At 49.2% G+C, this 25,894-nt stretch overlaps 2 protein-coding genes and 1 non-coding gene across 4 annotated transcripts in view, besides 2 other annotated features; 2 read left to right on the top strand and 1 right to left on the bottom strand.

The window, feature by feature from the left end:
• Window positions 1–25,894, top strand: part of RANBP2 (RAN binding protein 2) — a 1,122,820-nt gene that overhangs the window by 573,560 nt on the left and 523,366 nt on the right. The window lies entirely within an intron of this gene.
• Window positions 1–25,894, top strand: part of SH3RF3 (SH3 domain containing ring finger 3) — a 375,430-nt gene that overhangs the window by 163,837 nt on the left and 185,699 nt on the right. The gene's annotated exons all lie outside the window — the stretch shown is intronic.
• MIR4266 (microRNA 4266) lies at window positions 20,530–20,584 on the bottom strand. Its single transcript, NR_036224.1, has one exon. It is a non-coding gene; the product is annotated as a microRNA 4266 (primary transcript).
• Window positions 23,828–24,817: an enhancer, noted in NCBI's record as "H3K27ac-H3K4me1 hESC enhancer chr2:109933325-109934314 (GRCh37/hg19 assembly coordinates)". NCBI's record gives its function as "activates a minimal SCP1, AML or CMV promoter by ChIP-STARR-seq in primed H9 embryonic stem cells {active_cell/tissue: H9 hESC(primed)}" and the evidence as "EXISTENCE:reporter gene assay evidence [ECO:0000049][PMID:30033119]".
• Window positions 24,818–25,806: an enhancer, noted in NCBI's record as "H3K27ac-H3K4me1 hESC enhancer chr2:109934315-109935303 (GRCh37/hg19 assembly coordinates)". NCBI's record gives its function as "activates a minimal SCP1, AML or CMV promoter by ChIP-STARR-seq in primed H9 embryonic stem cells {active_cell/tissue: H9 hESC(primed)}" and the evidence as "EXISTENCE:reporter gene assay evidence [ECO:0000049][PMID:30033119]".

Consider the following 25,894-nt stretch of genomic DNA (forward strand, 5'->3'; position numbering starts at 1 on the left):
AATGGCATCTGTCAGCTGCAGTTCAGGGAGGGTCCCTGCACAAGCAGGAAGGACTGTCTCGCCATGACACTGCAGGGGACACACTAGAAGGAATGGGACACAGGGACAGAGCTCCGCAGGCAGTGCCCTGGGCCTCCGATGGTGCTGTGTGGGGCCCTGCAGACAGACTCAACTGCCTTAGGGCACCCGTAGGAGGGAGGACAGAGGGATGGTGGAGGGAAAGCCTTCTGCTAAAAATACCCAGCACTGCACTGCGAAGGAGTTTGGATGACAACTTGTAGGACACAGAAGTGTCCATTTGTGTGTCATCAGGGGCCAGAAAAATCTGGGAAAGGGGCTGCAGCCCTGTTCTCTTGTCTGGACTGATCTGGACATTGAGTCCCTGATGTCCCAGGCTACCCCAGTGGTGACCGGGCTGCCTGCCCTACCCTGCCCCCTTCTCTCTCCACTGCCAGTGGTGGGTCAGCCCCCATGTCAGGCAGTCATCCTCTGTCCCCTGCATGCACTGACCACTAGAAAACAAAGGGTGTGAAGCCCATGCCAACCTGGGAAGCCTCTTCCTGAAAGTAAGTCAAGTTTCCAAGACTCCTTCATTTGTCTTTGGGCAGGGCCCTCTCAAAGTGGGGATGAGTTACATCGGAAAGTGAGTGTCCTGTCCTAGCAATGTTCATGTTGGCTGTCAGCCTTCCCTGAATCACCTGCTCAAAGCCATGTGAACAGGGTGCACCCTCTCCCAGCTGTAGGTGAACGCTGGGGTTTTGTTACAGATCAGGAGTCGGGAATGCTGGGAGCCGCAGCCCAGGTGTCTTGCTCCTCTACCTCACATTTCCCTCCTGTGAAACAGCCTGAGGCTTGTTGCCGAGTAGCCCTGACTCTTTACCAATGGCCGGCGCCCTCCTCTATGTTCTCCAAGAGCTTCCCTGGGTGGGGGTCTAGCATCCAGGGGGCAGTGCTTGGCCGAGCAGCTGGTTGTGTCACATCCCTTCTTGGAATGGTCTTTTCTCTGCCTGGAAAGTGACCTGGATTCTTCCTTCTGACATGTAAGATGGAGCTCTGTTGTGGTTTATGATTGCTCCTTGGGCCCCTCCATGTAATCAGTTTACTCTGCCCGAAAGTCTTTCTTCCACTGTTTCAAAGGAGGAATTTGTATGTCACATACAGCTCCTTGGTGGGGGATTTTGCTGGAGACATGGGGAGCTGCTCTGAAGACAGTGTCCTGCCTGTATAAAGAATTGCTGTGCCGTGTGCGGTGGTCATGCCTGTAATCCCAGCACTTTGTGCAGCCAAGGCTGGTGGATCGCTTGAGTCCAGGAGCTCGAGACCAGCTTGGTCAACATGGTGAAACCTCATCTCTACTAAAAATACAAAAATTAGCCGGGCATGGTGGTGGGTGCCTATAGTCCCAGCTACTCAGGAGGCTGAGGCACAAGAATCACCTGAACCCAGGAGGTGGAGGTTGCAGTGAGCCAAGATCACACCACTACACTCCAGCTTGTGTGATAGAGGGAGACTCAGTCTCAAAAAAAAAAAATTAATTAAAAAAAAGGTAAAAAAAAAAAAAAGAATTGCTGTGAGAGCCATCCTTGCATTCTTCCATCTGATCATCATAGGCTTGAGCACCCTGCTGGGTGATGTGGTGACGGGGCTGGGCTCAGCTGGGAGGAAGACAGACACAGCCCTACAGGGGAAGCTAGGGCCACACCCAAGAAAGGGGCAGTCACGACCCGAGTGGGAGGATGGCTCCAAGTGAGGAGGTACCGACTCAGCCCAGGCTTAGCCAAGCCTCTGCCCCAGAGCTGGGCATCTTGGGGTGCACAGAGGAGGTGCTGCATGAGTGAGAAAGACTTAGTGAGGAGAGAAGCAGGGAGGGAAGGAAGTGGGTGGCAGTGGAAACAGCACTTTCCCAGTTGTTCTTTCAGCCGATGTTCATTCAGGGCTCATGGTAGCCAGGCCTTTTCCAAGCTATTCCATGGATTAGCCATCGCTATGAATTCTCAGGATCCCTGCAGGAAATGCCACTGTTGTCCATGTCACAGATGAGAAAATTGAGATGCAGACTTAGAGTATCTCATCCAGTGGCATGCAAGTGGTGTGGTACGGAGCACCCACGCCTGGCCTGCAGGTGCCTGCCCCTCTCCACCCCTGTCCAGTGATGAGCGAGCTCATGGCAGGCATGCAGGCACCCTGGGCTCCTTTGCACACACTCCCTCGCTTGGGCCTGCGGTGGCTCCAGGAAGCAGGTGCTCTTGTCATCCCCAATTTGTAGATGAGGAAACCACAGGTCAGAGAGGTTAAACAATTGCTCAAGTCACACAGCTGGTGAGCACCAGCCAGGCTGTAACCCAGGCCGCCTGGCTCTGAAGTCTTCAGTGTCTAAAGAACTCAGGGCGGGAGCCGAGGGGCACGCAGGGCAGGGAGAGGACCCTGGGAGGTGAGGCTGGGAAAGGAAGCAGGGCTGGACCCTAACAGCTTTGTCCTTCTTGTGAAGAAGGGGGCTTCATGTTGAGAGAAGGAGGTCTCACTGTGGAGGGCCAGGTGGTGATCCCAGCCACATGCTTGTAGCCACCTGCAAGTGCCCAGGCATGCTGCAGACTCACTGCAGCCCCACAGGACAGGGGCCTGCTGCCTGGTTGGTGTCAGGAGGCCGGCATTTGGGGACATGAAGATCAGGGAGGGGGAGGTTTACCTGGGGAGGTTCACCTGAATCTCCCATGGTTGTGAGATCTTGTGGGCACGTCTGTGGTGGACTCTGGCCGGCTTTACGGATGGCTGCAATTGGCACTCCCTGCACGGGCATCTCTGTGTAGCTTGAAGCTGGACTCTCTCTCAGGTGTAAGTGGGAGCTCCTTAGAGGTGGGGCTTGAGGACAGAACCCAGCCTCCTGCCTGTGCCGACACTGCTCCCTCTGTGACTGTGAGAGACATTGCAGCCCTTCACTATAGCTTGGTTGGAGACTGACATCTGTGAAGGATTGATGGGAGGCTCTGAAGGTGCTGTAATGAAGTTTCCTCCCCAGGATCCCTTCCCTGCCCCAGCCAGGTTGGCCCCCCAGAAGGCTGCTGGGTCCATTCACTGTTCTCTACGTCTGTGCGCAGCCCCCAACCCCGCCCATGTCAGCATTATCCCCTAGGACCCAGAGCCTCCTCCCATCTCCTGGCTTCCACTCTAAACAGAATGACCTAGTATTATTATTATTATTATTCGAGATGGAGTTTCACTCTTATTGCCCAGGCTGGAGTGCAATGGTGCTATCTCGGCTCACTGCAACCCCTGCCTCCCAGGTTCAAGTGATTCTCCTGCCTCAGCCTCCCGAGTAGCTGGGATTACAGGTGTGCACCACCACACCCAGTTTTTTTTTTGTGTGTGTGTTTTTTATTGTTAGTAGGGATGGGGTTTTACCATGTTGTTCAAGCTGGTCTCAAACTCCTGATCTCAAGTGATCCACCCGCTTCAGCCTCCCAAAATGCTGAGATTACAGGTGTGAGCCTCTGTGCCCAGCCTTCAGAATGACCTTTTAAAGGTCATCAGGGCATGATTCCTGCCCCTCCTTAACATCCACCTGTGGCTTCTCAGGGACTCAGGGTAAATGAGCTGGGCCCTGCACCATCTGTTCTTGCTCCCTTTGCTCCTGTGGGTGGAGGCAGGTGTCATGGGCAGCAGAGATTCTGCAGAGTCCCCTGTGAGGTGAGGGGAGTGCAGAGGATTCGCGTGGCCTGGGACTTGCCATGGCGTGTGGGAATAGGCAGTGGTCAGCTGGGGACACTGACCACACTAGCAGAGCTGCTGCCAGTGGCCCCCAAGGCGTCTCACCTCCTGACAGCACTGCTATAGCATTGCCAGATGTTATTTTGAGTTTTAAACACAGGAGTGTGGATTGGGCTGCAGTGTGGATTAACTAGGCCTGGGGACCTACCCTGAGGAGCTAGTGATTTACCTATTTCCTCCTCCATTCCTGTAGCATTCTCTTACTGAGCACCTGCTGTATGCCTGGCCCTGGGTATTTGGTGGGGCCAACTAGACTGCAGCTGTTGGTCCAGGTGGGGGGTGACCGGGATGGGAAGCCCAATACGGCTCCACAGAGAGTAAGAAAGCTGTGGGGGCAGTGAGCTAGGGAGGACAGCAGAGAGAGCAGGGCCTCTGCAGGGGGGTGAGTTCCCCAAGAAGACCCTGCGATTCATTCAGCTGTTTTTCATTGACACCATCATCATCATCGTCATCACTGTTAATACAAATGCTGTACGTAACAGAGAAGACTGACTTCTGCTTCCATCTTCGATGAGACCCTTTGCTCAGTTGAGAGAAAACCCACCAAAGAGGGGAAGGGAAGGAGGAGAGATTCTGCCCCCCAGGGGAGCAGCCCACATAGCCGCCTGCAAGAGGCCTGTGTACCCACCCTGGGCATACCTCCTCCAGAGCCAGAGGGGTGCCTGGTGTGGGTCAGTGCTCCCCACCAGACCAGTGCCTCCGACCCAAGTCAGTGCCTCCCACCCAGGCCAGTGCCCCCCACCCAAGTCAATGCCTCCCACCTAGGCCAGTGTCCCCAACCCAGTCAGTGCCCCCAACCTGGGTCAGTACCCTCTACCCAGGCCAGCCCCATCCCACCAGGCCAGTGTCCCCCACCCTGGTCAGTGCCTTCCACTGGGCCAATGCCCCCCATTCTGCCCATGCCCCCCAACTGGGTCCGTGCCTCCCACCAGGACAGTGTCCCTTATCCAGTCAGTGCCTCCCACTCAGTCATTGCCCCCAACTAGGTCAGCTCTCCCCACTAGGTCAGTGCTCCTCACCAGGACAGTGCCCCCGACCTGGGCCAGTTCGCCCCACCCAGGCCAATACCCTCCACATGGGTCAGTGCCCACAACCATGTCAATGCTCCCCACCCAGATGTGTGTTCCCCCCCCACCACCAGACTAGTGCCCCTCAACCAGGCCAGTGCCCCAGGCAGCCTTGGGTTTGCGCCTCAGCTGGTGACAGCTGAGGCTGGTGTGTGGTGCAGTGTGGGAACGTACCCTGTGGGATGTTCTGCACTGGAGGTGGGGATCTGTCCCACTCAAACCTGCTTCTCAGGGGGATGCAGAGGTGAATAGGGCATTGTGGCAGTAGCCAAGGGCGGGTGGATGGCCCAGCTGGTAGAAGTAGCTGGGGATAGAGAAGTCACCAAATAGATGCAGAGAAGGGAAGGAGAGGCATGGAGAGCAGGCAGGAGCATGATCTCAGCTATGTCCCCGAGGAGCAGAGAGAACTCCGTGGCTGGCTAGACAGGCGGGAAGGGAAGCGCATCTATGTCTGTCATCCTTGTCCCTGCAGTTCTGGAGCCTGGTTCAGTTTCTGCTGGGGTAGAAGCACCTCAGAGCAGAGTGATGGCTGCCCTAGTTCCCATGGTCTGTGGGTCATTGAAGGAGGGTCCCTCACGGCTCAGGGAAAAACCATTTCTGAGCCCAGGCTGGGTGGGGGATGATTTAGGTCACTTTGCTCCAGGTGGTGAGCCCCACCCTGACCTTGACTTTGGCCAACTGTTGTCTGCCAGCCCTGCAGGAGGATGAGCCCCGGGGTCCTCAGGGAGTGCCAGCTGAAAGGGGTGTCAGTCAAATGCTCCTCGGAGCACACCCGTTCCGTGCTCCCTCTGGCCAGGCCTTCCCTGGCTCCTGTGGGTCCAGGTCCGTTTCCCCACACTGACATACCCCATCAGCTCACCCTGTGAAATATCCCTGATCTAACCTTCTTCCACCCCTGGTCTGGTCCCTCTGTGTCTCTCCCCAGGATGACAGAGCTGCCACCAGAGGGTCCTGTTTCTGCCCTTGCCCTAGCATCTATTCTCAAACAGTGACCAGAGTGATCCTGTTGAAAGGGAAGGCAGATCATGCCAGTCCTCAACTCAGAATTCCCCAGTGCCTCCCATCACTGTCAGAGAAAAAGCCAGGCCGTATGACACGGCCCACGCCGGCCTGCACCAACCCCCACCCACTGCCTCCCTGGTGATGTCTCCCCCCAGTGCCCTCTGGGTCACCTGCTTCAGCCACACCAGCCCTGTCTTCCCCACAAGCCACTGGGCAGGCTCCCCCAGGGCATTTGCAGATGAGGCCCCCTCAGCTCCTCTCCCCATGGGTGTTGCCTCCATGCCACCTGCTCACGGGGCCTCCTCTGACCACTCCAGTTAAAACTGCGACCCTGCCTCCCCAAGGACTGCCTGCTGCTTTCTCCAAAGGACCTCTCACTCTTTAGCTTTCTTGGGATTTTATTTATAGATTTTATTTTGTTATTTCAGATGAAAATTTGAAGCTTGCAGGGGCAGGGATATTTTCCCATTTGGGTTACTGCTGTGACCACATATTCCAGAAAGTGTTTGGCACATCAGGGTCCTTGACACATCCTTGAGTGGCCATCCTTAAGATCACCCTAAGGGTGATCTTAAGTCTGCCAGCCACCAGGGCCTTTTGAAGCAGGGAGACCTCCCATGATGTACCCCTAGGCCTTAGCCTTGCACCCCAGGACAGGAGGACTGCGCTCCCAGGGGAGTCACCAAGCATCATCATGGGGTGACATTTCCTTCCATTTCCTAAAGTTTCCTTGCATGAGCTCACAGGAAACCTTGAATTGTAAGGCCCTTCCTTTGCCCTGTACTTGCCGAACCTAAAAGCCAGTTCTGCCCGGAATGTTCTAAATAATCAGGGGGATAAAGAAAGAGAATCCTCAAGCAAGGCTTTTCTTTCACTCTCTGCTCAGTTGGCAGCACCAGATGGAGGATGTGGCCGTGGTGTGGGCTCGTTTATTTATTGATTAAAATGCTTACAAAACCCAGCATGTACAGCCAGGCTGAACATTCAATTAAAAAGCCCAAAATGAAAATTCAGAACTCCTGAATGACAAGTAGGATGTGCAGAGCCAGCTCTTAGCAAAGGAATAGGATGATAAAGCTTTAAGCAGGGATTTGTTCTATTTATTTATTTCGCTCTTTCTTCAAGAATTTGGAAACTGGAAGGCACTGCACAGTGCCCAGTCACTGCATGGGTGAGTGAATGAACAAAGCTTACACAGTGTTGGGTGAGCAGCAAGGATAAGAGAGGTGGACATTTGATGACAGCTAGGTGCATGTGTCCCTGCACACACAGGGATGGGAAGAATAATGGCCCTGAGATATGCTCTCGAGAGGGCATCCTGAAATTTTTTTTTCTTTTCTTTGAGATAGAGTCTCACTCTGTCGCCCAGGCTGGAGTGCAGTGAACCTCCACCTCCAGGGTTCAAGCAGTTCTCCTGTCTTAGCTTCCCGAGTAGCTGGGACTATAGTCGCACGCCACCATGTCTGGCTAATTTTTGTATTTTTAGTAGAGATGGGGTTTCACCACGTTGGTCAGGCTGGTCTCCAACTCCTCACCTCAAGTGATCCACCCACCTCAGTGTCCCAAAGTGCTGGGATTATAGGTGTGAGCCACTGCGCCCATCCGCACCCTGAGTTTTTATACCAGGTAAGCCCTTGAGTGAGGAAAAGACATGAATCCATGCTCCAGAGATGACAGGCATCCTTTTCCATAGGGGATGGTTAGGGGTATGATTGGCAAATATGCACTGGGACTTCAGGTTCTTCCTGGTGGTAAGAAACCACTCGTCCTCCATCCATCTTCCTCTTCCTTCTCCATCCAACCACCTTCCTCTTCCTCCTTCACCACCTTCCAACATCAGACTGAGCACACTCTTCAGAGCCCACCAGCTGGAGCAGACTTCATGTGGGTTGGGCTCCACCTCCTTTCTCAGAAGTGAGTGTCATCACCTAGAGTGTCATTACCACAGTCTTTGCCTTCCAAGGCTCCTACTAAATCAGAACGACTTAAAAAGCAAGCAGAGTGCCCTCTCTGCTGCTTTGGAGGCAGCTGGGCCATGGTTAGAAGGTGAGGGCCACAGCATGGCTGCTGGCTACCAGCTGCAGATGCTGGTGCCGACTAGCCTTGCCTGAGTCTGGCTTCCTCATCTGCAGAGGGGCAGGGTGTCTCACTTGAAAGTTGGGAGACTTCAATACAGTTGTGTATGAAGTGCCCAGTACAGTAAATTCTCAATAAATAATCATTGCTATTTTAATACTGTGGGAATAGAAGGCCAGCTCACTAGCTGCAAGCCTTAGATTAGTCCAAAGACAGCAGAGTCAAGAGGGGGATTGCCCTGGTTCCTCTGCGCAGGCTGATGTCAGGGGTTTGCTGATCTCTGTGCACCGGGACTCAGACTTTCTCCCGTGTGGCCACACTTGCTGTGTGTGGTGTGTGTCTGTGTGTGTATGTGGTGGGGGGCGGGCTGTGTATCTGTGTGACGTGTGTGTGTGTGTGTGTTTGTGTATGTTTTGTGTGTGGTGGGGGGACCTTGGGTCTCTGTCTGTGTATGAACTCATGTAGTCTCCCCTGCATTCCTCTCCTCCGGGGATTGCTGGCCCCTTCGCTGTTTGATGGCAGGTGTCTGAGGATGGAGAGGGCAGTGCCGCAGAGTGACAGCACAGGGCATGCCAGGACACCAGGGTGCCCAGAGCCCATAAACCACAGCCTCTGACAGCCTAGTGTCTACGCTACCACCGTCCCCAGGGCCTCTGTGGGCTCAGAGCATTCTCCCCACCTCAGGCCATGCCGAGACCACTAGGCTCCTTTGCATAGAAATTTGAGCTGTATTTTGTTGTTTTGAGGAGAAAAGTGGTTTCTCAAAGGCCTTTGATTCCCATGTATTTGCTAAGCTGGCCTTGCACTTTCCTACCCATCCTTTTTGGGTGGGTTGCCCACAGGTACCATCCTTCTTGTCTTCATTCTGGCCCTGTCTTGCCTCTTTAGCATGTTTGAGAATTTTGGACAAATGGAGAGAAGTCTGTTCTCAAGGGTGTTGGCCTAAGTAGCTTCCCCGGTGCGGGACCGGGGTCCATTTTCTGCCCTCCTTCCCGCAGCCTCTCCTGCATGTCTTCCTGGACCTGTGCTGATTTCAGCATCTTCGTTGTGTGACTCAGTTCTTCTCAGGAAGCCATAGAGGTTTTTCTTTCTAGAGCTTTGAGCATTTGAAGAATTCTGCCCACTGTGTCTTCTCTCCTCCCACTGCAATCGATAGCAGAGAATGGAGAGGCTGGTCATTTTTTCAGACTGCTCTGTTGAACACGGATCTGCAAAGCTGGCGTTGGTACTCCTACAGCCAGTGCTGGGACACATGCAATTTGTGGTGTGTGATGCTTTCAGGTTGCTCTAAGTGTCAGTTTGACATACCTGAATCCTGGGGCATTTTTTTGTGACTGTAATCATCCATAACAGCATATCTGTGATGGATCAGTCAGGATGGGAAAGTTAGGCTGCAGGAACAGCAAGGTGAAATGCTTGCTGCTTCTGTTCATGCTGACCATACCCAAACACAGAACTGGTGCAATCCTGCCATGCCATGGAGGCAGAGAGCCAGGAATAACCAGGCACAACATGTGCCTCCTCTTAGGGCCCCCATAGGGGAGGGCTCTGCCTGCACCGAAGATGCTCCACAGCCCTCTAGGAGCTTGGGGACCAGGCCAGAGACCCTGTGCTGTGCTGCTGACAGTGCTAAATTTTGACAGTGCTAAATTTCACTGCTGCGTAGGGGATTAGCCAGCCCAGGCCGCCAGGTCTGGCTCGGGATGGCGTGACCTCTGGAGTTTTCCACAGTCCTGCCATTGGAAGTGATCCCGGGAGACAAGGCATCATGGTGCTCCTATGTTCTTCCTGTTTTCAGACACGACATTTCACCTGCCTCTCGGAGGCTGAAATAAGTTAAATAAGGTTATGCTGGAGAAAAGTGGACATTCTAGTGATCTCTACATCTGAACATGAGATCAGATTATCTGATCTCCTTAGCTTTTTTTGTTTGTTTGTTTTTTGAGGCAGAGTCTTGCTCTGTCCTCCAGGCTGGAGTGCAGTGGCATGATCTTAGCTCACTGCAACCTCTGCCTCCCAGGTTCAAGCGATTCTCCTGCCTCAGCCTCCCTAGTAGCTGGGATTACAGGCATGCACCACCATGCCCTACTAATTTTGTATTTTTGGTAGAGGCGGGGTTTCATCATGCTGGCCAGGCTGGTCTCCAACTCCTGACCTCAGGTGATCCGTCCGCCTCAGCCTCACAAGGTGCTAGGACTGCAGGCGTGAGCCACCGCGCCCGGCCGATCTCCTTAGTTTTTAAACTCCACTGTAGCCAAAGAACTTTGGGAGAGATTCACTTGGCCCCAACAGGATCTGAGGACCACCTCCCTCACATATGCTTCCCAGTGAATTTGGAACGTCCATCCATGTGAGGAAAGAGCTTGCCTCTGGCAGGGTTAAGACAAGGTGTGCGTTCAGTTGAATGAAGGTGGGCACTCCCCACTTTGGGGGCCAGACTTTTCTCCTTCGCTCACACTATATTTTTAATGTAGGATGATCTTTGTGTAGACTGGTACATGGCAGAACACTAAGAAGATGAAACTTTTTAAGTGAAAATATTTTCAGGCCTAGGTAGCCAGTAAGGTGACCCTGCAATGGTCTGTTTCCTTCTGAGCCTCCAGGAAGGAAACCCACCCGATGATGCCCAAGGGACGGGAGAGGGCCGCCACACGGGCTGGCGAGACAAAGTCAGGGAGGCAACAGAGCCAGCTGGCAAGTGCAGGAGACTGCCCACATTCGGGTTTTGTTTTGCTTGGTATTTTAGTTTTTTAAAAACCACTTTGTTGAGGCCTGGTTGGCATATAAAAAGCTGGGCATATTTTACATACTTAATTTCTACATCTCGATGAGTCTGGGGGTGAGTCTGTGAAGCCATCACCACCATCAAGACCGTGAACAAGTTCATCACCTCTCAGAGTTGTGCATCGCCTCCTGCCTCCTTTGTTATTAACATTGTTATTATTTTTGGTAAGAATCCTTACTATAAGATATAACCCCGTCTCTACTGAAAATACAAAATTAGCCAGGCATGGTGGCACTTGCCTATAATCTCAGCTACTTCAGAGGCTGAGGCAGGAGAATTGCTTGAACCTGGAAAGCAGAGGTTGCAGTGAGCTGAGATCGCGCCATTGCACTCCAGCCTGGGCAACAGGAGCAAAACTCCATCTCAAAAAAAAAAAAGAAAGATCTACTCTGCTAGCAGTTTTAAGTAGACAGTACAGTATTGTTAGCTGGAGTCACACTGCTGTACAGTAGATCTCCAGAACTTACTCATCTTGCAGAACTAAACTATAGTCTTGGACCAACACCTCCCCATTCCAACCCCAGCCCCTGGTAACCACCATTCTACTCCCTGCTTCTAGGAGATTGACTTTTTAGCTCCAACATATAAGTGAGATCATGTGGTATTTGTTTTCCTGTGACTGGCTTATTTCGTTTAACATAATGTCCTCCAAGTTCATCCATGTTGTCACAAATGACAAGACTTCCTTCTTTTTTAAGGCTGAGTTGCCCCACGTTGTCTGCTAGGGGTTCCTTGTTCCCTGTCTCTGGACCTGCTTCCTGAGTCTCCTCTCTCCAACCCCAGGGTGTCAGTGATGTTGGCTCTGACTGGGTAAGAGTGGTTAACTCCGCTGCACCCGTCGGCACTGCCCTCACCCTCTATCTTTAAGTTCAGACTATTTAGAGCTATTTGAGTTTGTATTTAAATGAATTAAAATTAGATAAAATTAAACATTTGATTTCTCCGTCTCACTAGCCACTATTCAGTGCTTGGTGCTAGTGACCACAGCATATAGGAGCTAATCTAGGGAGAGGTGCAGCCTGTGGAGGAAAGGAGCAGGGACCCGGCTCAGCCCTGCCCGGGACAGCTGTGAATTGCTAGATTAGACCTCGTGAGAGCCACTTCAGGGGGAAATGGGAGCTCAGAGAGCCACCTTAGAAGACATGGGGTGACGCTGCTGAGGTCAAGTGCCAGAGTGAAAACTGCTCGGTTGGGTTTCTGTCCTGTCTGTAAAATCAGCGTCAACTTATGAGTAGGAATGTTTAATGTGTGTTGAGTGCCTCATTTGTCTGGATATCTGGTTTCACTGGTACTTCCCCAGCCTGGGTTTGTTGCGGTTCCCCGTCTGAATGTTATTTGGGTCCATGCTGTAAGACTGCCTTCTAAGAGACTTCTGATTATTCTGATAATATTAATCTCTTAGAAAGGGGTCCACAGTGGGGGTTATGTTGATCTTCTGGGTTAGTTGCCAGGGTTGTGATGTTCTAATATATCTCTTTCTCAGCTGGTTTTAACCTGCTGACGGTTTCCCCCTGGGAAGTTCAGTGATTCATTCCAGACTGGAGGCGTTTTGACTGAGGCCTGTCATGAAGTTCCCTGAGAGGATGAAGCGCCTCTTCTGTGGTTACCTTTAATGGCAGGTATGGCCATGGAGGCCCATACAGGTGTCTCGGGGCAATCAAAGGCCCCTTCTTAGGGGAACATCGTGCTTCCTATTTCCCTGTCTCCAGCCCAGTTCTGGCCCCTGGAGGCTCAAGGAGCACCTGCTAGTTTCCTTCTGGTCTCTCCACCTTACTTCCCACTCTGGGCGCAGAAGTGCTGTGTGGAAATTATGCACCAGGAAGCTCCGTACAAGCAGTAGAGAGTCTCAGCTAAGCTAAGGGAGATGAGAATACAAAGGTCTGGCAGGTCCTCTTGACTGTGGGCCTCATGTGCACTCAGCATTCGCTCAGTTCCACTGCATGCCTGTCACTGTACACTCCTTCATGTGCGGTGTGTGGCTACAATGCGGGAGGACGCACATTCCAGGCAGTGTTCTCTGCGGTTCCCTGAGACAGATGCCACAAAACTTGCTGGAGGTGGTCTCAGAGGCTGGGGCTGCTCGGCATCTCTCACTGAGAAAGAGCAGGTGACAGAGAAGAAAGCAATCCACGCAGAGCCCTTTCCCACACCAGGAGTTCCCCTGAGCTCTGCCCTTTGGGCTGCTCCTCCAGCTGCTCCTCCAGCTGCCCCTTCCTTGCTCATTCAGCACGGTATTTAGTGAGCACAGTAGATCTGGGCATTACAGAGCTACAGGTGACTTCAGGAGTGATTCGCTGCCTTCTGCTGGGCTCTTACTGGCAGCGACAGTGGGATGTGCTTGGGATATTGCTTTTGTCTACCTCACGCTAAAGTTGTTTCATTCAACATCAGCAGGAAGCAGATAACATTGTCAACACGTCGCTTATAGAGAAAATCCACTAAAATGGTCAGAGCAGACCGTCTTTCAGAAGAGATGCAGTCTGCCAGATGCAGACCCCAGGAAGTGTCAGCAGTGGGGCCGGGATGAGGGGTGGATAGAGGGGTGCCACGTGTGTGTTTGCATTCCACCCTGCGATGTTGTTCTGACCCCTGTGTGTCCCTGCCTCCAACCCCTGCGCATACTCCAGCAGCACCTGCAGAGTGCTTGGAGATTCCTCCTGGAGGCTTCCCGGGGCTTCCGATTCCATCCTGCTGCTGCCCTTGCAGGCAGGCTGCACATACCGCAGAAGGTATGGGAGCAGAGCAGGTGCCATGGAGGGGCAGGGCAGGGCCTCTTTGTACATCTCCGACCTGCCCTTGTGGATGCTTTTTCTCTGACCGTACAGTGGCTGGTGGTGTTCTCCAGGCAGGAAGCTACATGCCATGGCCGCAACCCACTGTTATGCAAGTATCGGAATGATTTCATGCTGTTAGCAGTCGGTGGACCCCAAATGCCCAGTAACCTAGCATGTTACTGAAGACAACTCCAACCTGGATGGCAGAATCACATTTCCTGTTGCTTGGTGATTCCACTAGGGGATGGTGCAGGAAGAAACTAAAAAACTACAGGGACCTTTGATAGACTGGTTGATTACGTATTTCCTAGGTTGCTCTGGTCGACGTGTATGTTGAGTAAGCTGCAGGAGAGCCAAAGCTTGGTTCAACGGGTGTGCGGTGTACGGTAGGGCCGCGGCATGCATGCCCGTGTGGATGGCTGATGGTGTGCTATGGAGGTGTTTTTGCTCAATTGCTTGCCGCTTGGCATGAACAACACAGGTAACATAATTGAGGGCACACATTATTATGGCAGTGCAGTTTTAATTTATAAATGTGAGGCTTTTGTGTCTTTATTGATTCTTTGTGTAATCAACAGACATTCTTTATTTCTCTCTTACAGTGGCTTGAAATTAAAAAAATAAAAAGTACCTGTTGTACTCTTCATGAGGGAACATTCACATTTAGTTTCCACTGCTGGGAGGTGCACATTTGAAAATTGAATATTCATAATTACCTTTTTGCACATTGGACTTGTGTGTAGCCACATTGATTTAATTCGCAAATTTGCATTGTAATATATGATATTGAAGATGTTCTGCTAGGATGCTCACAGGAGCACTTGGCCAGAAGTTAGGAGGGGAACAATTTGTGGGCAAGCAGAACGCTGCATCCATGCTCTGGGCGGAAGCTTGGAGCAGATAAGATGCACTTTTTTTTTTTATTATTATACTTTAAGTTTTAGGGTACATGTGCACATTGTGCAGGTTAGTTACATATGTATACATGTGCCATGCTGGTGTGCTGCACCCACTAACTCGTCATCTAGCATTAGGTATATCTCCCAATGCTATCCCTCCCCCCTCCCCCCACCCCACCACAGTCCCCAGAGTGTGATATTCCCCTTCCTGTGTCCATGTGATCTCATTGTTCAATTCCCACCTATGAGTGAGAATATGTGGTGTTTGGTTTTTTGCTCTTGCGATAGTTTACTGAGAATGATGATTTCCAATTTCATCCATGTCCCTACAAAGGACACGAACTCATCATTTTTTATGGCTGCATAGTACTCCATGGTGTATATGTGCCACATTTTCTTAATCCAGTCTATCATTGTTGGACATTTGGGTTGGTTCCAAGTCTTTGCTATTGTGAATAATGCCGCAGTAAACATACGTGTGCATGTGTCTTTATAGCAGCATGATTTATAGTCCTTTGGGTATATACCCAGTAATGGGATGGCTGGGTCAAATGGTATTTCTAGTTCTAGATCCCTGAGGAATCGCCACACTGACTTCCACAATGGTTGAACTAGTTTACAGTCCCACCAACAGTGTAAAGTGTTCCTATTTCTCCACATCCTCTCCAGCACCTGTTGTTTCCTGACTTTTTAATGATTGCCATTCTAACTGGTGTGAGATGGTATCTCATTGTGGTTTTGATTTGCATTTCCCTGATGGCCAGTGATGATGAGCATTTTTTCATGTGTTTTTTGGCTGCATAAATGTCTTCTTTTGAGAAGTGTCTGTTCACATCGTTTGCCCACTTTTTGATGGGGTTGTTTGTTTTTTTCTTGTAAATTTGTTTGAGTTCATTGTAGATTCTGGATATTAGCCCTTTGTCAGATGAGTAGGTTGCGAAAATTTTCTCCCATTTTGTAGGTTGCCTGTTCACTCTGATGGTAGTTTCTTTTGCTGTGCAGAAGCTCTTTAGTTTAATTAGATCCCATTTGTCAATTTTGGCTTTTGTTGCCATTGCTTTTGGTGTTTTGGACATGAAGTCCTTGCCCACGCCTATGTCCTGAATGGTAATGCCTAGGTTTTCTTCTAGGGTTTTTATGGTTTTAGGTCTAACATTTAAATCTTTAATCCATCTTGAATTGATTTTTGTATAAGGTGTAAGGAAGGGATCCAGTTTCAGCTTTCTACATATGGCTAGCCAATTTTCCCAGCACCATTTATTAAATAGGGAATCCTTTCCCCATTGCTTGTTTTTCTCAGGTTTGTCAAAGATCAGATAGTTGTAGGTATGCGGCGTTATTTCTGAGGGCTCTGTTCTGTTCCATTGATCTATATCTCTGTTTTGGTACCAGTACCATGCTGTTTTGGTTACTGTAGCCTTGTAGTATAGTTTGAAGTCAGGTAGTGTGATGCCTCCAGCTTTGTTCTTTTGGCTTAGGATTGACTTGGTGATGCGGGCCCTTTTTTGGTTCCATGTGAACTTTAAAGTAGTTTTTTCCAATTCTGTGAAGAAAGTCATTGGTAGCTTGATGGGGATGGCATTGAATCTGTAAATTACCTTGGGCAGTATGGCCATTTTCACGATATTGATTCTTCCTACCCATGAGCATGGAATGTTCTTCCATTTGTTTGTATCCTCTTTTATTTCCTTGAGCAGTGGTTTGTAGTTCTCCTTGAAGAGGTCCTTCACATCCCTTGTAAGTTGGATTCCTAGGTATTTTATTCTCTTTGAAGCAACTGTGAATGGGAGTTCACTCATGATTTGGCTCTCTGTTTGTCTGTTGTTGGTGTATAAGAATGCTTGTGATTTTTGTACATTGATTTTGTATCCTGAGACTTTGCTGAAGTTGCTTATCAGCTTAAGGAGATTTTGGGCTGAGACAAAAGAGCTCCTGAAGGAAGCGCTAAACATGGAAAGGAACAACCGGTACCAGCTGCTGCAAAATCATGCCAAAATGTGAAGACCATTGAGACTAGCAAGAAACTGCATCAACTAACGAGCAAAATCACTAGCTAACATCATAATGACAGGATCAAATTCACACATAACAATATTAACTTTAAATGTAAATGGACTAAATGCTCCAATTAAAAGACACAGACTGGCAAATTGGATAAAGAGTCAAGACCCATCAGTGTGCTGTATTCAGGAAACCCATCTCACGTGCAGAGACACACATAGGCTGAAAATAAAAGGATGGAGGAAGATCTACCAAGCAAATGGAAAACAAAAAAAGGCAGGGAGTCTCTGATAAAACAGACTTTAAACCAACAAAGATCAAAAGAGACAAAGAAGGCCATTATATAATGGTAAAGGGATCAATTCAACAAGAAGAGCTAACTATCCTAAATAGATATGCACCCAATACAGGAGCACCCAGATTCATAAAGCAAGTCCTGAGTGACCTACAAAGAGACTTAGACTCCCACACATTAATAATGGGAGACTTTAACACCCCACTGTCAACATTAGACAGATCAACGAGACAGAAAGTCAACAAGGATACCCAAGAATTGAACTCAGCTCTGCACCAGGTGGACCTAATAGACATCTACAGAACTCTCCACCCCAAATCAACAGAATATACATTTTTTTCAGCACCACACCACACCTATTCCAAAATTGACCACATGGTTGGAAGTAAAGCTCTCCTCAGCAAATGTAAAAGAACAGAAATTATAACAAACTATCTCTCAGACCACAGTGCAATCAAACTAGAACTCAGGATTAAGAATCTCACTCAAAGCCGCTCAACTACATGGAAACTGAACAACCTGCTCCTGAATGACTACTGGGTACATAACGAAATGAAGGCAGAAATAAAGATGTTCTTTGAAACCAACGAGAACAAAGACACAACATACCAGAATCTCTGGGACACATTCAAAGCAGTGTGTAGAGGGAAATTTATAGCACTAAATGCCCACAAGAGAAAGCAGGAAAGATCCAAAATTGACACCCTAACATCACAATTAAAAGAACTAGAAAAGCAAGAGCAAACACATTCAAAAGCTAGCAGAAGGCAAGAAATAACTAAAATCAGAGCAGAACTGAAGGAAATAGAGACACAAAAAACCCTTCAAAAAATCAGTGAATCCAGGAGCTGGTTTTTTGAAAGGATCAACAAGATTGATAGACCACTAGCAAGACTAATAAAGAAAAAAAGAGAGAAGAATCAAATAGACACAATAAAAAATGATAAAGGGGATATCACCACCGATCCCACAGAAATACAAACTACCATCAGAGAATACTACAAACACCTCTACGCAAATAAACTAGAAAATCTAGAAGAAATGGATAAATTCCTCAACACATACACTCTCCCAAGACTAAACCAGGAAGATGTTGAATCTCTGAATAGACCAATAACAGGAGCTGAAATTGTGGCAATAATCAATAGTTTACCAACCAAAAAGAGTCCAGGACCAGATGGATTCACAGCTGAATTCTACCAGAGGTACAAGGAGGAACTGGTACCATTCCTTCTGAAACTATTCCAATCAATAGAAAAAGAGGGAATCCTCCCTAACTCATTTTATGAGGCCAGCATCATTCTGATACCAAAGCCGGGCAGAGACACAACCAAAAAAGAGAATTTTAGACCAATATCCTTGATGAACATTGATGCAAAAATCCTCAATAAAATACTGGCAAACCGAATCCAGCAGCACATCAAAAAGCTTATCCACCATGATCAAGTGGGCTTCATCCCTGGGATGCAAGGCTGGTTCAATATACGCAAATCAATAAATGTAATCCAGCATATAAACAGAGCCAAAGACAAAAACCACATGATTATCTCAATAGATGCAGAAAAAGCCTTTGACAAAATTCAACAACCCTTCATGCTAAAAACTCTCAATAAATTAGGTATTGATGGGACGTATTTCAAAATAATAAGAGCTATCTATGACAAACCCACAGCCAATATCATACTGAATGGGCAAAAACTGGAAGCATTCCCTTTGAAAACTGGCACAAGACAGGGATGCCCTCTCTCACCACTCCTATTCAACATAGTGTTGGAAGTTCTGGCCAGGGCAATTAGTCAGGAGAAGGAAATAAAGGGTATTCAATGAGGAAAAGAGGAAGTCAAATTGTCCCTGTTTGCAGACGACATGATTGTATATCAAGATGCACTTTTATTCTAGCTTCCTAAAAGCAATGGCCCTTGATGGCAAGACTGAAGGACTGCTGAGCACTTGAGAGGAGACCCAGTCTGTGGACATGCCTTTCTGACTGATGTACCCTGGTGGTGGTTTTGTTTTTCCTTGTCTGACTTCACTCTGAAAAGGGCGCTAATTTCAAGCGATGAGCAAGTCATATCAAGGCTACCCATATGGCAGAGACAGCAAACTTTACTAAAATGGTGGTTTGTCCCTTTCTTTATTGTTATTTTTTTAATTAAAGTTTGAAGTTGTTTTCTCGTTTTCTTACATCCACATTTTCTTCCATGCCCTGCCAGTGGATGAGATGGAGTCACAGATTTTGGAGCTGATGTCTTCCATGAGTCGTGGCTGTGTGGTGGTGAGGTCGGCTGCTGCTGGTGCTGTCCAGTTTTGAACTGACTTGAGCGTTGTGGCCGGTGTAGCAGTCAGCCATAGACTAGGGGAACCTTGGTGTATGTGTTTTTATGGTTTCCTTTAGCATTGTTAGTTCAAAAGTATGTCACCTATTCAGAACTGGTTATTTGGTTATTTCAGAACTCCAAATCTTACAAAGTCTAATGAAAATCTTACACAATCTTACACAGTTTAGTAAACAAAACACACAAGGCCAGAGGGACAAATGTACCTCAGAGCTGGGGCTCTGAGTCCTGCCCACTTTTCTTGTGAATGAGCTTCCCACTCGAGGTTGGCTTGCTCCTCTTTCTAATAATTCTAACAAGTTTAACGGGTTTTTTATTGTGGTATAATACTTATAACATGAAAGTCATTATAAAGTGTGCCAGTGGAATTTATGTTTTATTATATTAATGATGTTTCGACCGTCAGCACTGTCTAGTTCCAGAAGTTTCCTTTTGGGAAGTTTTCATCTCCCCAAAAGGAAACTCTCTACCCATCAGCAGCCACCCCGCTGGGCCCCTTCTTCCTGGCCCCAGGCCACCACAACCTGCTTTCTTTCTCTGTGAATTTGCCCACTCTGGAGATTTGATATAAGTGGAATCATCCGATACATGGCCCTTTGGTCTAGCTTCTTTTACTTCGTATTTTCGAAGTTCATCCAGGATCATAGAGTATATCAGAATTCCATTCCCCTCTATAGCTGAAGAATGTCCCACTGTATGGTATTTCCACATTTTGTTTATCCATTCATCTGCTGACGGACATTGGGCTGTTTCCACCTTTTGGCTCTTGTGGGTAGAGCTGCACTTAACATTTGGGTACAAACATTTGCTTGAACACCTGTCTTAGATTTTGGGTGTATACCTAGGAATGGACTTGCTGGGTCACGTGGTCATCCTAGGTGTACGTTATTGAAGAGCCGCCCTATGTTTTCCACAGCAGCCCTTGGATTTCACTTTTATCTACAGTAATGCGGAAGAAGGGGGCTGATTTGTGACAGGTGGGCAAATCTGCAGTGTTAAGAAGAGGCAGGAGACAGGGAACCCATGCAATCCACATACTTCAGAGGCAGGTGGTGCTCCTGGCTCACACTGTAGGTAATATTTGCCCTGTGCCTGTCAGCTTCATCTGTGTGCATGGGCTGAGCTGGGAAGAACCAGGGGACCTGGAAAGGGGTTAGGGAGCTTGTCTATGCCAGCATCCTTGACACCGGCATGATATCAGGATCCCTATTCCTCTTCACAAGGCCCAGGCCTTACCCCAAACCTGCTGTACATCCATCCCAAGGGGGGAGGCTGGCATCTGTGTTTCTTGCTGCATTTATTTAAATGCAGTTCAGCCTAATGCACAGCCCGGGATGAGACTGCAGGTGAAGTGTCATATTTTAAGATGTGCTCATGAGAGGCATGGATACAAGGCCAGGCCTCCCTGGCTGACATTTGGGTGCTTGCCATGGGCCAGGCCCTGCCCTCCTTGCTGGGTGAGCGCTGTACCAGTTGGTCATCGCAATGGTCTTAAGCATCACTGAGGAAGACATTGAGGCCCAGATAGGGACTGTCCTTGGCCAAGGCCTCCTAGCCTTGAGTAGGGGCCCCGGCCAGCAGTGGGGCTCACTGCCTCTCAGGCTCAACATCCCAGGGGGATGGGAAGAAAACATTCTGGGAGATGAGTGGAGAGAGACTGATTCTCTGTAGGTGATGGCATGTGCCTTGAGCTGAAAGGTGCTTCCGGTTTCTTTGTAGCGATGGGGTCAGCTGCTCCAGGCAGCTGTGGCAGCATGAGTGAAACAGAGGGGCTTATTCCAGTGCATGTGGGGGAGAGGAGGGAGGTGGGCTCAGCCAGAGCAGAGGGATTTGAAGAGTGGCAGTGGAGGAGATATTTGAAAGGTGTGTTGGGACCCGTATGCAGGGTGCCGTGTTTGGACTTTGTTTTGTAGGGCACAAGACAGTTGAAGGCTTTGGAACTGGGAGGAAAGTGACAAGAAGGAGTACCAGGCTGTGGGACACTGGACACTGAGAAAAGGAAGAGGCTATGGGGGAAGAGAGGGGCCGTGAGACCCGGGGCAAGTGTGGACTTGGGGGACACAGTAGCGGAAAGCAGCAGGCCTGGGCAGTCACCTAACTGCAGGTGCCAAGGTCGTGGTCTGTGTCCCGGGAGACCAGCGGGTGGGTGTCCAGAGATGGGGGCACCAGAACCATGTGGGTCATGTATATTTAATGCTGCCTGCTTGAGAAAGCAGGGGCTTGGCATATGTTTTAGGAGAAAGTTTTATTTCTTGAAATGGTTAAACTGATAAATCCTCAGTTATCCCAAAGGCTCAGGGTTCCAGAAAATGGCTCCGTTGAAGGGTGAATCCCATAGATCTTATAAGAGTGATTGTAACCCTGCCTTGGTATAGCCAGGGAGCAGAGATAGAGGGTAGGAACCAGATTGCCCTGGGGAAAGCAGGTCAGCCTGAAACGGCATGACCTTTGATGTCACCTCCGTGCAGGAATGAATTTCTCTACCATATGAATAGCACCATCAACTAATACATTTTTATTATTCCTGCCACTTCATAAATAGTGTCTCCATCTTAATTTGCATGTGTCTGTCACTCTCCATGGTCTTTAAAGGTTTGTATAAACTTGTAAATTAATCCTCCTTTACATGCATAAGGCAAACCAGCTCCTTGATGAAACCTTTGATGAATCTTTTTACAAGTGCATAATATCCACCAGCCAATTTCTTATTCTGTAAATTATTTTGCCATTTTGGTTTTGTTTAATTTAGGGTGTGACAGTACTGGCATCATATTTCTGTCTAGTGAATAGGAGAATCAGACCACCAAAATATTAGAGGAGACCCTCTGAGTTGGTAGAGATTGAAGCAGAGCTAAGCCCTCGCTGGTGACCAAAAGAAACTTCGTCTCCCCGTATGAATCTCATTCTTGGCAAAGCCCACAGTTTGAGAACCCCCAGCAGGCATTCCAGAGCTGCACTGTCCCATAAGGTAGCCACCGACCACACTCAGTGAACAGCGACCACATTGAAGAGCCCATACACGACACGTTTCCATCAGTGCAGAAAGTTCCACTGGACAGCACTGCTCCACAATAATGAAGAAAAAGGAAACCTGTTTTACTTTACTGAGTATAATTAGCAGAAAGTCTTATTTGATGACTTTTCTCTGGGTCCCCCTTGTCAAGTGTGAGTCCTCTGAGTGGAGAGGGCTATAGTCTCTCCATAGTAAGGCAGAAAGACGTGCCCACTGGGAAACACCCAGCAATTTAATAGGGCCCTGGGTCCAACACCAACTTGGAGTTCTTAACTAATGCCAAGCCAGGTAAAGTGCTTTGTTCATTGAGTCTTGCAACTCCATTAGTGATTCAAAACAAAGTAAACCTCTGTCCCTATCTCTGTAGGATAGTTGCAGGGAAGCAATAGCTTGTGTCTGTAGAATGCACTTGCTTTTACTAAGAGGCAGTAAGGAACTGTCTCAGTATGAAAATGTGCATATACAGAACGACCATCCGTTTTTGGTGTAAGCAAAGGGGACCATGTGTGCCTGTTGTGCACTGTCTGTGCAGAACTTTCAGAAACTGTCAGTGATGCACAAGGACGTGTGTGTCCAGAGAAGAGACGCCTGTGCAGGCTTTCCTGGCAGTCTATAAAGGGGCGAGCTCTGTCTCAGTCCAGGCTTTCCCACCCAGGGTTCCTCTGGGGCTCTTTCATCTCATTATGTCTGGCTATTGTGACATTTAGAGTATTCAGGTGAATGCCGGTTGCTGCCTTGGTGTGGAAGGGACGTCGTCGCTTTTCCACCCTAGAATGACCTTTGATCTTACCTGTCAGGACGTGATCTAGGCATCAAAGCCACCAGTTCCCAGAACGTCACCTGCGACCAGCATAGGTCTGTGTCTCTGGGTTGTTTTGGAGAATATGGAGCCTTTTGAGATGCATTAGCAGAAGTCTTTTTGGTCTGACTGTGTGAGATTATATGTGCATGCATCAGGGGCTTTTTTCACCCAAATTGCAAAGATTCCCAGTATTTAGAGATTAGATGTGGTTAGAAAAGTGCATTTCCAGTATGCAATTGTAAAGCAGGAAAAACCTAAAGCTTTCAAAAAGAGAGGGCAAGGCAGGCTGGAGGAGGTGTTCAGAGCTGGTTTTGCTGAACTTTTGGGCCTGGGGAAGGTTCCACCAGTGTCCTGGCTCTTGGGCTTCATCTCTCGCAGCAGATCTGCACAGCTCCAACTGGGCTATCAGTGCTGTGGGCCTCGGTCCAGGAGGCTGGGTGGATGCTGGGAAGGGGATGGAGGGAGGACATGTTGCCAGGTGATGGTGGCTGGCTCTACATGCCCCTGCTCCTGGAGAAGCCCTGGTGCCATGTTTCTCCCTGGCTCTGGCTTCCTGTCTATCACAGGAGGAACACAGGTGTGATGTCAGTGTGATCTTCACTACACACAGCCTTTAACAAGGTAGCCCATGACATGGAGAGAACTTATCACTCCTCTTAGAGATTTCCTCTGCTTTTCTGTTTTAAATAGACTTTCTGTTTTAGAGCAGTTTTAGGTTCACAGCAAGATTGAGCAGAAGGTACAGAGAATTCCCATAGACCTCCTGCCCCGCCCCCATGTGCAGCCTTTCCATCAGCATCAGCCACCAGAGTGGTGTCACATTAGGGTTTACTCTTGGTGTTGGACATTCCACGGGTTTGGACAAATCTATAATGCGATGTATCCACCATTAGAGTTTCACACTCAGTACTTTCCCTGCCCTTAAAAATCCATGTGCTCTATCTGGTTATCCCTCCCTGGCCTCACCCTCTGGCTGCCGTGGGTCTTTGTACTGTCGCTGTAGTTCTGCGTTCTCCAGAACATCATACAGTTGGAAGTATACAGTGCGTAGCCTTTTCAGACTGGCTTCTCTCTCTTAGTAATTCATGTTTGAGGTTCCTCCATGTCTTTTCATGGCTTCATAGTTGATTTCTTTTTATCACTGAATAACACTCCATTGTCTGGGTGGACCCCAGTTTGTTTATCCACTCACCTCCTGAGGCTATCTTGGTGGCTTCCGCATTCTGGCAGTTATGAATAAAGCTGCTCTAAACTTTCATGAGTGGGTTTCTCATGAAATGTTTTCATGAGATGTAAGTTTCATGAAATGTTTTGTGGATGTAAGTTTTCATGGTGTTGGGGTTTTCGGGACCCCAGCTTACCTCCCACCCGGATGGAATCTCCTAGTGTAGCATTTCCTGCTTGTGCACAGATAGCGTCAAGTCTTGCCCATGGTGACAGGGCGACAGCAATGCCTGTCCCTGAGGGGGCGTCTGTGGGCAGGTGGGCAGGTGCCGCCCCAGCCCCAGGGGGTGGAGGAGAGTCCAGAGGTCTGGGGCTCTTTTTCCCTGTTAGCGCTCAGAAGGGACACTGTCTACTCCATGCTGGGGAGGCCCAGCCCCCCACCCTGCTCTTCCCCTGGGTCTGGGAGGCATAGCTCTGGCAGCAGCCCCGTTCACAGCAGGGACTTGGTTCTAGGTCTCGTTCTGCCGGGCCTGCCTCATCTCTTTCCCTGCTCCTTCTGAGGTACAGAACAGTCAAAGTCCACCTTGGTTTCTGTGACTTGCTGGGCCTGGAAAAAGAGAACTGGCTGAGTTTAAATGACTTCAGGTACATAAATATTAGTTGCTGCAGTTTCTCCACCACGGAATCACAGTGAGGTCAGTGTGGAGTGCGAGGGTGCCTCCCTGTGAACAGGCTTCTGCTCGTGAGTGCCTTTGTAGTGTCCTGGTGCTAACTGGGGATGTATCCTAGGACTTTAAGAACTAGCGCATCCGTCTTGGGTCAGGTTTCTCAGGAAGGCACATAACTGGAGTCCCAGCCAAGAGGAAAGATGTATGTGGCCAGCAGCAGCTCGCTGGCTGCACCGCTGAGGGGACTCGCACAACTCTGCCGCTTGTCCTGATGGATTCTGTGGCAAAGGCCAAGGATGGCCTGCATCTGAACGGAAGGCCAGGCATTAAAAAGCAAAGGGCAGGGAGGATCATCGTGATCCTTTCTCTCCTCTGTTTTTCTAAGCCATGAGCACGCTGAATTTCAGTACGCAAAAAAAAAAAGCCCCCTTTAAGCAGAAAAACCATTCTAGGGACATTGAGAGACTAGAAATCCTTGCCTAATTTCAGATTAAGCAAAACATAAGCATTTGGCAAATGCCGAGATTGTAAAGTTGTGCAAGCAGAAGAATCACTTTGAAATTTGAGCGCAGCCCCAGATGTTCGGGAGCATTTCCATGCGACTGCTCCTCCTAGCGTGACTGGCTGGTGCCTCCCGGCCCCCAGCCCGGTCCCCAGTGCTTGTCCTCTGCCCACTCGCTGCACAGACCTGGGGTGAGGAAGAAATGCCGCCGAGCGCCAGAAGATTAGGAGGGAATTGTGTGAGGCCTCCTCTCAAAGCCAGGGTGGCTCTCGGCATACGCGTTTATCTGAGTGACTGAATCATAGCACAATCATTTTGGCGACCGTGGGATAAACGCTGTGAGAGAACTGTGGTTTGTCCTTGCGGGTGTGTTGGTTCAAAGTCATGTGAGTAGAGCCAGCTCCTGAGGGGATCGTCTCATGCTCACACTGGGGGCAGCATTTGTCTCTTGTCAGCTGTGAGATCAGAGTCCTAGGGAAGCCAGAATGGTCTCTCAGATCATGCCCTGGCCAGAATCCGGGGCTGCCCTGGCCAGCCGCCAGATACTGACCCTTCTGGTCTCATCCAATCTAAAGACAAAGCATGAAAGCCCAGCCCTGACGAGCTCTGGCCTGAGGCCACCCATCCACTCAGAGGCAGACATTGGCTTGGAGAAGAAAGAGGGATGAACTTCTGGAACCAAAGCCAGCTGGAATTCCTTGCCTCTGGTAGGTGAGCCAAGTGAATTCAATATGTAATGAAACTG

This window comes from Homo sapiens, chromosome 2 (assembly GCF_000001405.40).
Source record: "Homo sapiens chromosome 2, GRCh38.p14 Primary Assembly".
NCBI lineage: Eukaryota > Metazoa > Chordata > Mammalia > Primates > Hominidae > Homo > Homo sapiens.